The 13,895-nt window shown below is 47.3% G+C and overlaps 1 protein-coding gene across 16 annotated transcripts in view, besides 1 other annotated feature; it reads right to left on the bottom strand.

Annotated features, from left to right (window-relative positions):
* SNTG2 (syntrophin gamma 2) overlaps window positions 1-13,895 on the bottom strand; it is a 416,765-nt gene that overhangs the window by 250,098 nt on the left and 152,772 nt on the right. Inside the window, exon 1 of one of the 16 annotated variants that reach the window (XM_017004364.2) lies at window positions 1-13,895. This exon is cut by the window's left edge and continues 14,195 nt beyond it. The exons of the other annotated variants lie outside the window; for them this stretch is intronic. The gene's annotated coding sequence lies outside the window, so the exon portion shown is untranslated. 16 annotated transcript variants of the gene reach the window in all.
* Window positions 7,898-9,097: an enhancer, noted in NCBI's record as "CDK7 strongly-dependent group 2 enhancer chr2:1104105-1105304 (GRCh37/hg19 assembly coordinates)". NCBI's record gives its function as "activates an origin of replication core promoter dependent on BRD2, BRD4, P300/CBP, MED14 and CDK7 cofactors, with strong dependence on CDK7, by STARR-seq in HCT116 cells {active_cell/tissue: HCT116}" and the evidence as "EXISTENCE:reporter gene assay evidence [ECO:0000049][PMID:35650434]".

Genomic DNA, 13,895 nt, shown 5'->3' with positions numbered 1-13,895 from the left:
GCAGGAGGCCGTGCCTGCCCTGCACGCCATGTTATATTTTAATTGATTTCATCTGTTTTGCTGAATTTGATGTTAAGTCTTCATTTCAACGAGAAAGAAAAAAAGGAAAGATAATAGTAAAAGTTGTTTCTATTAAAATTAAATGATATTTTGCAGTGTATTAATATTAGGAACTTGTTTAAAATTACAGTCATCTCAGACACCTTCTATGGTTTATGTTCTGCCATGTCTTCTCTATTAAACAATCCAAGGCTCTCTGAAACCTTAAAGTGCCTTTGGAATTAGAAAAAGACTCAATCATCTTGAGTGATGTTCTTACCTAACTTTTGGAAAATAAACCTGCACATCACAGCATCCATACAGCAAAGCACCCACGCACCAGAGCACCTACACACAAGAGCACCCGTACACCGGGGCACCTGTACACCGGGGCACCCACATATTGGGGCACCCACACACCAGAGCACCCACACACCAGGGCACTCACACACCAGAGCACCCACACACCAGGGCACTCGTACACCAGAGCACCCACATGCCAGAGCACCCACACGCCAGGCACCCACACGCCAGGGCACCCACACGCCAGGGCACCCACACACCAGAGCACCCACACACTAGGGCACCCGTACACCAGGGCACCCGTACACCAGAGCACCCACACACCAGGGCACCCATACACCAGGGCACCCACAGACCAGGAAACCCGTAAACCAGGGCACCCACACACCAGAGCACCCACACACCAGGGCACTGACACACCACGGCACCCATACACCAGGGCACGCACACACCAGGGCACCCATACACCAGAGCACCCACACACCAGAGCACCCCCATGCCAGAGCACCCACACACCAGGGCACTCATACACTGGAGCACCCACACACCAGAGCACCCACACACCAGGGCACCCGAACACCGGGGCACCCGTACACCAGGGCACCCACATACCAGAGCACCCACACACCAGGGCACTCATACACTGGAGCACCCACACACCAGACCACACACACACCAGGGCACCCATACACCGAAGCACCCACACACCAGAGCACCCACACACCAGAGCACCCCCATGCAAGAGCACCCCTAATTCTGGAGAGTTTTGCGTGAGCCAGGGCCACGGGTGAGCAGCCACAGCCTTGCCTGAGTAACTGGAGCTGTTTTCACACCTGCTTCCCTGGCAGCTTCTGTTTCCTTTCCAATGTTGTCAGGCTGATAAAGTGTTCTAGTGAATAAGAGAAAAACATTACAGACTCACACAATCTTTTCAATTAGGTAGCAATCGATAGCTCTGCTTCTCAGAAAGAAAGCCCTAAAACCCGTGACCACCAAGCTCCCTTAACTCACAAGCACCCTAAGCTCTGAAGACGCCACATCCAACCACCTACGATTACATCCCCATTGTGTACGTGAACTGCACAAACGTAAGGTGTTTCAGTCATAAATTTATCATGATATTCCCTCACTAGTGTGTTGGTCATAAGGAAACTGATACTGTTTCCACCACAGTCTGTTAGAAGAGGAACCCGTTGGCCCCCACCTCCGCCAAGGTCCTGGAGGGCAGGCCCTGGGCCATCTCGGGGCCACTCAAAAGGGCAGAATGGGGCTTGAACATTGACCTGAATTCATTTCCAAAATCCTGTTCTTTTAAAATTCCTAGACTTCCCCAAACTTCAGTGACTGTCCCTGCACAAGGGAGACTCTTCTTATCCTCCTCAAAGGACTGTAAGGGTTAAACATCACTTAGTACACACGATCCTTCTCAAAGGACTCTGAGGCTTAAACATCACTTAGTACACACGATCCTTCTCAAAGGACTGTAAATGTTAAACCTCACTTAGTACACACGATCCTCCTCAAAGGACTGTAAGGGTTAAACCTCACTTAGTACATACGATTCTTCTCAAAGGACAGTAAGGGACAAACCTCACTTAGTACACAAGATTCTTCTCAAAGGACTGTAAGGATTAAACCTCACTTAGTACACATGATCCTCCTCAAAGGACTGTAAGGGTTAAACCTCACTTAGTACACACGATCCTCCTCAAAGGACTGTAAGGGTAAAACCTCACTTAGTAAACACAATTCTCCTAAAAGGACTATAGGGGTTAAACCTTAGTACACACAATCCTTCTCAAAGGACTGTAAGGGTTAAACCTCACTTACTACACATGATCCTCCTCCAAGGACTGTAAGGGTTAAAACTCACTTAGTACACACGATCCTCCTCAAAGGACTGTAAGGGTTAAACCTCAGTACACGAAATTCTCCTCAAAGAACTATAGGGGTTAAACATTAGTACACACGATCCTTCTCAAAGGACTGTAAGGGTTAAACCTCACTTGGCACACACGATCCTCCTCAAACGACTGTAAGGGTTAAACCTGATTTAGTACACAAGATCCTCCTCAAAGGACTGTAAGGGTTAAACCCCACTTAGTACACACGATCCTTCTCAAAGGACTGTAAGCGTTAAACCTCACTTAGTACACACGATCCTCCTCAAAGGACTGTAAGGATTAAACCTCACTTAATACACACGATCCTTCTCAAAGGACTGTAAGGGTTAAACCTCACGTAGTACACAAGACCCTCCTCAAAGGACTGTAAGGGTTAAACCACACTTAGTACACACCATTTTTCTCAAAGGACTATAAGGGTTAAACCTTACTTAGTACACACAATCCTCCTCAAAGGACTATAAGGGTTAAACTTCCCTTAGTACACACGATCCTTCTCAAAGGAGTATAAGGGTTAAACTTCACTTAGTACACACAATTCTCCTCAAAGGACTATAGGGGTTAAACATGAGTACACACGATCCTTCTCAAAGGACTGTAAGGGTTAAACCTCACTTAGTACAGAAGATCCTTCTCAAAGGACTGTAAGGGTTAAACCTCACTTACTACACACGATCCTCCTCAAAGGACTCTAAGGGTTAAACCTCACTTAGTAGAGAAGATCCTTCTCAAAGGACTGTAAGGGTGAAACCTCACTTAGTACACATGATTCTCCTCAAAGGACTGTAAGGGTTAAACCTCACTTAGTTCAAAAGATCCTCCTTAAAGGACTGTAAGGGTTAAACCTCACTTAGTACACATGATTCTCCTCAAAGGAGTGTAAGGTTTAAACCTCACTTAGCACACAGGATCCTCCTCAAAGGACTGTAAGTGTTGAACCTCAGTTAGTACACACGATCCTTCTCAAAGGACTGTAAGGTTTAAACCTCACTTAGTACACACGATCCTCCTCAAAGGACTGTAAGGGTTAAACCTCACTTAGTACACAAGATCCTCCTCAAAGGACCGTAAGGGTTAAACCTCACTTAGTTACACACGATCCTCCTCAAAGGACCGTAAGGGTTAAACCTCACTTAGTACACACGATCCTCCTCAAAGGACTGTAAGGGTTAACCCTCACTTAGTACACATGATTCTCCTCAAAGGACTGTAAGGGTTAAACCTCACTTAGTACACACGATCCTCCTCAAAGGACTGTAAGAGTTAAACCTCACTTAGTACACACCACCCTCCTCAAAGGACTGTAAGGGTTAAACTTCACTTAGGAAACACGATCCTCCTCAAAGGACTGTAAGGGTTAAACCTCACTTAGTACACACCATCCCTCTGAAAGGACTGTAAGGGTTAATCCTCACTTAGTACACACGATCCTTCTCAAAGGACTGTAAGGGTTAAACCTCACTTAGTACACACGATTCTCCTCACAGGACTGTAAGTGTTAAATTTCACTTAGTACACACCATTCTTCTCAAAGGACTATAAGGGTTAATCCTCAGTACCCATGATCCTCCTCAAAGGACTGTAAGGGTTAAACCTCACTTAGTACACATGATCCTCCTCAAAGGACTGTAAGGGTTAAACCTCACTTAGTACACACGATCCTCCTCAAAGTACTGTAAGGGTTAAACCTCACTTAGTACACACGATCCTCCTCAAAGGACTGTAAGGGTTAAACCTCAGTACACACAATCCTCGTCAAAGGACTGTAAGGGTTAAACCTCAGTTAGTACACACGACCCTTCTCAAAGGACTGTATGGGTTAAACCTCACTTAGTACACATGGTTCTCATAAAAGGACTATAGTGGTTAAACCTTAGTACACACGATCCTTTTCAAAACACTGTAAGGGTTAAACCTCACTTAATACACACGATCCTTCTCAAAGGACTGTAAGGGTTAAACCTCACTTAGTACACACGATCCTTCTCAAAGGACTGTAAGGGTTAAACCTCACTTAGTACACACCATCCTTCTGAAAGGACTGTAAAGGTTAATCCTCAGTACACACGATCCTTCTCAAAGGACTGTAAGGGTTAAACCTCACTTAGTACCCACGATCCTCCTCAAAGGACTGTAAGGGTTAAACCTCACTTAGTACACACGATCCTTCTCAAAGGACTGTAAGGGTTAAACCTCACTTAGTACACACCATCTTTCTCAAAGGACTGTAAGGGTTACACCTCACTTAGTACACATGATCCTTCACAAAGGACTGCAAGGTTTAACCTCACTTAGTACACAAAATCCTCCTCAATGAAATGTAAGTATTAAACCTCACTTAGTATACATGATCCTCCTCCAAGTACTGTGAGGGTTAAACCTCAGTTAGTACACACGATTCTTCTCAAAGGAGTATAAGGGTTAAACCTCACTTAGTACTCACTATCCTTCTCAAACGACTGCAAGGGTTAAACCTCACTTAGTACACACGATCCTCCTCAAAGGACTGTAAGGGTTAAACCTCACTTAGTACACACGATCCTCCTCAAAGGACTGTAAGGGTTAACCCTCACTTAGTACACATGATTCTCCTCAAAGGACTGTAAGGGTTAACCCTCACTTAGTACACATGATTCTCCTCAAAGGACTGTAAGGGTAAAACCTCACTTAGTACACACGATCTTTCTCAAAGGACTGTAAGGGTTACACCTCACTTAGTACACACGATCTTTCTGAAAGGACTGTAAGGGTTACACCTCACTTAGTACACACGATCCTTCACAAAGGACTGTGAGGTTTAAACCTCACTTAGTACACAAAATCCTCCTCAATGAACTGTAAGTGTTAAACCTCACTTAGTATACATGATCCTCCTCCAAGTACTGTGAGGATTAAACCTCAGTTAGTACACACGATTCTTCTCAAAGGAGTATAAGGGTTAAACCTCACTTAGTACACAGGATCCTCCTCAAAGGACTGTAAGGGTTAAACCTCACTTAGTACTCACGATCCTTCTCAAACGACTGCAAGGGTTAAACCTCACTTAGTACACACGATCCTCCTCAAAGGACTGTAAGGGTTAAACCTCCCTTAGTACACACGATCCTTCTCAAAGCAGTGTAAGGCTTAAACCTCACTTAGTATACATGATTATCCTCAAAGTACTGTAAGGGTTTAACCTCACTTAGTACACACGATCCTCCTCAAAGGACTGTAAGGGTAAAACCTCACTTAGTACACACGATCCTTCTCAAAGGACTGTAAGGGTTAAACCTCACTTAGTACCCACGATCCTCCTCAAAGGACTGTAAGGGTTAAACCTCACTTAGTACACACGATCCTCCTCAAAGGACTCTAAGGGTTAAACCTCACTTAGTACACACGATCCTCCTCAAAGGAGTATAAGGGTTAAACCTCACTTAGTACACACGATTCTTCTCAAAGGACTGTAAGGGTTAAACCTCACTTAGTACACACGATCTTTCTCAAAGGACTGTAAGGGTTAAACCTCACTTAGAACACACGATTCTTCTCAGGGAGTCTCTCTAAGTGGCCTTGGGAGATTATTTATCATTGATAACAGGGAAATCTAAATTCTTGAAGTAATTTGAAGGACACTGGACATTTTGAAGTGTTATGTATATTTAAATTAAAAAGTATTTTTCATCTTACAGGAAGGTCCCCTTTGGTGGATGCTGACACCTGCCATAACACTGGCTGAACTTGAGGAGCAATGGCAAAGTAGATCCCAGGACAGCATCTTTGGGGCCCGAAGGATTTGTTCTTCAGGCACTTTCTAAAGCAAAACAACTGGATTCTCTGCTGCACACCTGCGGTCCTAATCTCAACAGCAGGGACCCTGCAAAGGTAAGAGGGGCCCGGCCGTACGCTGACTCCCCTTCCTGCTTCCAGCTTCTCCTGAGGAGGAAGCCTCTTGTTACTCAGAATTTAAATTTGACCTGCAGTGCACAGCACGCACACTTCAGGGCTTCTGATGTTTCTTGTGATTCTTTTTGAGGTTTCGGCATTTCTCATTCAGCTACTAAGTCCATTTTATATTATCCTTGTCAAGTTCTATTTATACTTTGATAGCTTTAAAACCATGCCTTTCATTGATTCATTAGCAATAAAGCAGTAACACCAGAATATTCTTCATTCAATCTGCTGTACCTCTGTCTAGATCTGGGGATTGGAAAATGGGACTCCCTTCATTCTTACGGAAAGCTAACTTGAGACAAAAAGCAGATTTTGGCTTGTGACAGAAAGCACAGTTAGGAAAGTTAGACCTAAAAGTTACAAATTGAATTCCACATCCACCCACCGCCAGGTGAGAAAAGATTTCTGACATTGTGTTTCTGCACACATGTAGCCAGATCCAGGTTCAACCGTCTAAAATAGAAGGACTCTATCAAATATTTATAGAGCTCCAGAAGAAAAACCAGATAGTATCTGACTTATATATTAGTGCAGGCACATTGGCCTGAGTAGTTGTATCACATTTTGAATTTCAAAAGCCATTTTTTAGAGCCTAGAAAGGAAGATATGGCAGCACAGCAGACATGATGAATGGCAAAGGCAAAGGCCCAGCGGTGTGAGGAGCGGATGCCAGAGAGGCAGTGCTGTGAAGGATTCCAGCTCTGGGAAGAGGCATCTCAGCTGCTCAAGTCTCTGCTTTCTGAGGGACAATGGGGGCATTCATCACGGGTTTCTCTATGCCATGTGAAGGGCAGGACCTTACATTAATATAAAGACATCTAAATCAATATTTACATGGGAGGGAGGGAGGCAGAGGAGAAGGTATTAGGGGAGAAAGGCTTCACAGCAAATTCAGCAGAACAGGTGAAATAAATTTAACACAGAAAGAAATTAATCACAGATCTGGCATAATGAAGGCATGTGCATGGCACTAAGACACCAATAACAGGTGAAAATTCTAGAGAACAATAAAATACAGGTGGAGGCCCATGTCATGGTGACCCCATCACACAAAGCTCATAAGTCTCTGTGACTTTGGTATGAAAAGGGTGATTCTTCCTGTGTTTACAGGTGTCCAGGCCATGACTTTAGACGACGACAGGATCCAGACAAAACTCCGCCACAGCCGCTGTGCCACAGAGACCTGAACAGGGAGCTTTGGGACCTGGGTTTTGTGTTCCCTTTCCTTCCCCACCAAATGTAGTATATATATTTGGTTATAGAAATCGTCGTTCTGTGTCAACATCTTCATGAGTAACAGTGAGCCTCGTGTCCAACCTGACATTCCCACTGTAGCTCAGATGGCCTCTGTAAGAACCCGCCCTTCAGCTCAGGATACTTCCTGGCGCTGAACGATGAATACTCCACATGAGAACGACTGAAGGTTCGCGTTCGTCTTGCCTTTCTTTCGGGGACAAAACACCCCTTCCTTTCTGTGCAATTTTCTGAGTATTTTCTAATTGTCCCATTTGTCTCCCGAATATACACATCAAATTAGCTACAGGGCCCAGGCCTATCTTACAGATAAATTCTTACGAAGCATTATTATTTATTAAATTATTTATTACCATTAATTTATTTAAGTGGAATTAAACTGTGGCTGTGAATGAATTTTCTTTGTACCTAATGAGATGATATGCTATAGTAGGAAGAACTGGATTTCGAGGGAAAAATCTAAGTGTACAAGTAAAGGACTCTTTATAAGCCCTTGTTAGCGGAGTAAAACTGGGCAACTCATAATTCCTGTTTATCTGCTGCCCTATGAAATGTGAATAATCATGCGTCCCTTGCCCATTTCATATGTTTTTTATGAAGATCCAATGAAAAAGGAAGTTATTTTCGTATGACAAGTATCAATGTCAGGAATTCCTATGCAGATGGCACCCTCTGACTTCCACATCCTTTTTCAGCATGTGGTTTTCATCATCCTTTCTCTGTGTGTTATATGGAGCCTGGCTTCGGTTTCGAAAGTTTTGCTGTGTTGGAAACACCACATGTAAATTCCATCCAGTCATAGAGGAGAGCTTCATTCTTCCTCATTTCATTAAGTATGAACTGGGTGATCACCGAGAGCAAACCACTGTTAGGGGGAATAAAAGGGGCTTAGGGGACTTCGCAAGCCGCTTTTGCTTTCCGAAAGTATGACATGTCATGATGAAGCTGTGCATCCAGCTCTCCATACCCTGCGCCCCAGTGACAGCGTGCGTCCACTATTACCAAGGAGCTCTCCATACCCTGCACCCGAGTGACAGCACGTGTCCACTATTACCAAGCAGCTCTCCATACCCTGCACCCGAGTGACAGCATGTGTCCACTCTTACCAAGGAGCTCTCCATACCCTGCACCCGAGTGACAGCACGTGTCCACTCTTACCAAGGAGCTCTCCATACCCTGCACCCGAGTGACAGCACGTGTCCACTCTTACCAAGGAGCTCTCCATACCCTGCACCCGAGTGACAGCACGTGTCCACTATTACCAAGCAGCTCTCCATACCCTGCACCCGAGTGACAGCACGTGTCCACTCTTACCAAGGAGCTCTCCATACCCTGCACCCGAGTGACAGCACGTGTCCACTATTACCAAGGAGCTCTCCATACCCTGCACCCGAGTGACAGCACGTGTCCACTCTTACCAAGGAGCTCTCCATACCCTGCACCCGAGTGACAGCACGTGTCCACTATTACCAAGCAGCTCTCCATACCCTGCACCCGAGTGACAGCACGTGTCCACTCTTACCAAGGAGCTCTCCATACCCTGCACCCGAGTGACAGCACGTGTCCACTATTACCAAGCAGCTCTCCATACCCTGCACCCGAGTGACAGCACGTGTCCACTCTTACCAAGGAGCTCTCCATACCCTGCACCCGAGTGACAGCACGTGTCCACTATTACCAAGCAGCTCTCCATACCCTGCACCCGAGTGACAGCACGTGTCCACTCTTACCAAGGAGCTCTCCATACCCTGCACCCGAGTGACAGCACGTGTCCACTATTACCAAGGAGCTCTCCATACCCTGCACCCGAGTGACAGCACGTGTCCACTCTTACCAAGGAGCTCTCCATACCCTGCACCCGAGTGACAGCACGTGTCCACTATTACCAAGCAGCTCTCCATACCCTGCACCCGAGTGACAGCACGTGTCCACTCTTACCAAGGAGCTCTCCATACCCTGCACCCGAGTGACAGCACGTGTCCACTATTACCAAGGAGCTCTCCATACCCTGCACCCGAGTGACAGCACGTGTCCACTCTTACCAAGGAGCTCTCCATACCCTGCACCCGAGTGACAGCACGTGTCCACTATTACCAAGGAGCTCTCCATACCCTGCACCCGAGTGACAGCACGTGTCCACTCTTACCAAGGAGCTCTCCATACCCTGCACCCGAGTGACAGCACGTGTCCACTATTACCAAGCAGCTCTCCATACCCTGCACCCGAGTGACAGCACGTGTCCACTCTTACCAAGGAGCTCTCCATACCCTGCACCCGAGTGACAGCACGTGTCCACTATTACCAAGGAGCTCTCCATACCCTGCACCCGAGTGACAGCACGTGTCCACTCTTACCAAGGAGCTCTCCATACCCTGCACCCGAGTGACAGCACGTGTCCACTATTACCAAGCAGCTCTCCATACCCTGCACCCGAGTGACAGCACGTGTCCACTCTTACCAAGGAGCTCTCCATACCCTGCACCCGAGTGACAGCACGTGTCCACTATTACCAAGCAGCTCTCCATACCCTGCACCCGAGTGACAGCACGTGTCCACTATTACCAAGCAGCTCTCCATACCCTGCACCCGAGTGACAGCACGTGACCACTCTTACCAAGGAGCTCTCCATACCCTGCACCCGAGTGACAGCACGTGTCCACTATTACCAAGGAGCTCTCCATACCCTGCACCCGAGTGACAGCACGTGTCCACTATTACCAAGCAGCTCTCCATACCCTGCACCCGAGTGACAGCACGTGTCCACTCTTACCAAGGAGCTCTCCATACCCTGCACCCGAGTGACAGCACGTGTCCACTATTACCAAGGAGCTCTCCATACCCTGCACCCGAGTGACAGCACGTGTCCACTCTTACCAAGGAGCTCTCCATACCCTGCACCCGAGTGACAGCACGTGTCCATTATTATCAAGGAGCTCTCCATACCCTGCACCCGAGTGACAGCACGTGTCCACTCTTACCAAGGAGCTCTCCATACCCTGCACCCGAGTGACAGCACGTGTCCACTATTACCAAGCAGCTCTCCATACCCTGCACCCGAGTGACAGCACGTGTCCACTCTTACCAAGGAGCTCTCCATACCCTGCACCCGAGTGACAGCACGTGTCCACTATTACCAAGCAGCTCTCCATACCCTGCACCCGAGTGACAGCACGTGTCCACTATTACCAAGCAGCTCTCCATACCCTGCACCCGAGTGACAGCACGTGACCACTCTTACCAAGGAGCTCTCCATACCCTGCACCCGAGTGACAGCACGTGTCCACTCTTACCAAGGAGCTCTCCATACCCTGCACCCGAGTGACAGCACGTGTCCATTATTATCAAGGAGCTCTCCACACCCTGCACCCGAGTGACAGCACGCATCCACTATTACCAAGGAGCTCTCCATACCCTGCACCCGAGTGACAGCGTGTGTCCACTATTACCAAGGAGCTCTCCATACCCTGCACCCAAGTGACAGCACGTGTCCACTGTTACCAAGGAGCTCTCCACACCCTGCACCCGAGTGACAGCACGTGTCCACTCTTACCAAGGAGCTCTCCATACCCTGCACCCGAGTGACAGCACGTGTCCACTCTTACCAAGGAGCTCTCCATACCCTGCACCCGAGTGACAGCACGTGTCCATTATTATCAAGGAGCTCTCCACACCCTGCACCCGAGTGACAGCACGCATCCACTATTACCAAGGAGCTCTCCATACCCTGCACCGAGTGACAGCACGTGTCCATTATTATCAAGGAGCTCTCCATACCCTGCACCCGAGTGACAGCACACATCCACTATTACCAAGGAGCTCTCCATACCCTGCACCCGAGTGACAGCACGCATCCACTATTACCAAGGAGCTCTCCATACCCTGAACCCGAGTGACAGCATGTGTCCACTATTACCAAGGAGCTCTCCATACCCTGCACCCGAGTGACAGCAGGTGTCCACTATTACCAAGGAGCTCTCCATACCCTGCACCCGAGTGACAGCAGGTGTCCACTATTACCAAGGAGCTCTCCATACCCTGCACCCGAGTGACAGCACGTGTCCATTATTACCAAGGAGCTCTCCATACCCTGCACCCCAATGACAGTGTGCGCCCACTATTACCAAGGAGCAAGGTGAGAGGCCTCGGGGTCAGGGGCCACCAGGTGTGCATCCTGACCTGGCTGTGACACGCGGGGGAGGCTGATCTTCCAGGTGAGGGTGGAGACTTGGGGTGCCATCCTGTGCCATGCATCGGAGCAGGGAGGAGACAAATGTGGCTGTGGGACCCAGGATGTGAGGTGAGCTGGAAAGCCCAGCCTGCACCTCGGCTTTTCCGTAAGCAATGAAGTCGTGGATGATTTCTGGGCCAGGGGCAGCAGGGTCCTGAGGAAGAATCTCATAGGAGGGAGAGTGAGCAGGAGCTTGGTATCCTCAGTACTGAACCATGCTCAGAGAAATCCAATCCTCATAAAATCTATGTATAGAACGGTGTCAAATCCAATCGCCCATGGTGATTTTAGGTATTAAAACAGATTTTTTGGAGAGCGGTTGCTAAGTAGGCTGAAGGCTGCCTTAAGGAGCACGTACGTGTGTGGTTCCTGACGTGTGAGCCTTGGCGGGTGCACACACCTCACTAAAGCGGTGAATTAAAGTGTGAAGGACACCATATCTAAGAATTTAAATGTCTAAGCACCTAAGGTGGACCTCATGCAGAACATCATATGGCAACCACCCTTATCTAAGTTGTAAGCCCTGCAGCAGATGCCTGAAACCATGGACAGAAACAAACCCCAGCCAAGACCCTCTGCATGGCACAGCTGGCAATGACAAAATGCAAGTGGGGCCACCCCACACTCACCCCACCCCCACCAAACCCTCTCAGCCTTGTGGCAGAGCCTGGCCTGCTCCCATGGTTCAGCAGAGGGCAGAGTGTGTTGCTCTCAGCGAATGGAACCCCTGCATTCCCCTAAGGGAGTGGCAAAAGGCTGTCCAACAACTCATGAAGAACTTGCTCCCTCAGCCTTTCTGAGGGTGAACTTGGGTCCGGTTCCAGTGGGTGGATGGAAATGAAGGAATACCATGAAGGCTTTCCTTCCCGGAGATGGAACCACGGTGCTTCTTCAGGGGTGGTGCCCCATTTCCCTTCTTTCCTACCTAAAAAGAAGATATGTTATCTTGAAATACAGCCACCATTTTGCAAATATAAGGCAATGAACATGAGGATAAAACCCACAAGCTAAGGATGGTGCCACGGGAGGACGGAAAGATACTGGGAGAAAACCACAGCAAACAGCCGGATTTCTCGTTCAGTGAGAAGAGCAAGCCCTATTCACTCAAACCACCGTAAGCTGAGAGGATTTCACAGCACACACGGCCCCTCCTGGACGGAGTCCCCAGGTTTTCACAATGCCAGCACCCCAGGGCCACACACGCTGACAAAAGGACCCACGGCAGGGCTTGGGCCACGCTGACAAGTGAGTTTTTCCTTTCTCCATTTGTGTTTTCCCTGAGGTACATACATGCAGAAACCTAAAACTTAGGTAAACATGTGCACATTAGAAGTCTATTGACTTAACAAAAGAAGTTCAACTATAAAAAGAAAGCTTGATACAAAGTGTTTATTTTTAAATTATCTTGAGAGAATTAATCAAATCTCGTATCACTAATCAATAACCCATGCATCAAAGAACAGACCCTGTCACTCAGCTCGTCTGAAAAGACACTGCTTTTTCCTTTTCAGGTTTAATAATTTCACTATTACTACACTAGGAAGTTATTAACCCTAGGCAACACCAACATAGAGCAATAACCGAAGAAATGTGTAAAAGTAAAGAATAAATGAAAAAACGTCGTAACCACATTGCACTGGTTCTTTACAAACGTTTGAAAGAGGGGCAGCACCGGACGATGACCCAGAGAAGGGTCTTGGGGGTCACTCCCCGGCTCTGCCATTTGCATGTCTGTCCCTGTGCAAACTCTTTAACATATATTTGCCTCAGTGTCCTCATCTGTAAAATGGGAATGAAAATCCTAGTCATCATCTCATAGGGTAGTTAAAGGTCATAGAATGCCTGAAAGTATTAGCAAAAATGTAGCTATATTTTTCTCCCTAGTCTTATCCATACCTGACATAATAATTTCATTTGTATCTTTGCTTATTATCTTCTCCGACTATAATGTACATGCTCTGAAAGCAAGAAATCAGTCTATTTTTTGCTTCTCTACTCTCAGCACAGAGGACAGTGCTTAGCACTCAGGGGTCTATAACGTTTGTTAACCTAACAACCGATTCAATGAGTGTGCGCCTGCAATCACAGCATGCACGGAGGCTTTGTCTGGTGTCTATGAAGTTTAAAATCATCAAATGGATCATTGGTAGAAATTTATAATCATGGCCAGGCGCGGTGGCTCACGCCCGTAATCCCAGTACTTTGGGAGGCCAAAGGGGGAGGATCATGAG

The sequence above is a fragment of the Homo sapiens genome, chromosome 2, assembly GCF_000001405.40.
Source record: "Homo sapiens chromosome 2, GRCh38.p14 Primary Assembly".
Taxonomy (NCBI): domain Eukaryota; kingdom Metazoa; phylum Chordata; class Mammalia; order Primates; family Hominidae; genus Homo; species Homo sapiens.
Note: the sequence above shows the minus strand (reverse complement) of the source record. Positions and strands in the feature narration are given on the sequence as shown.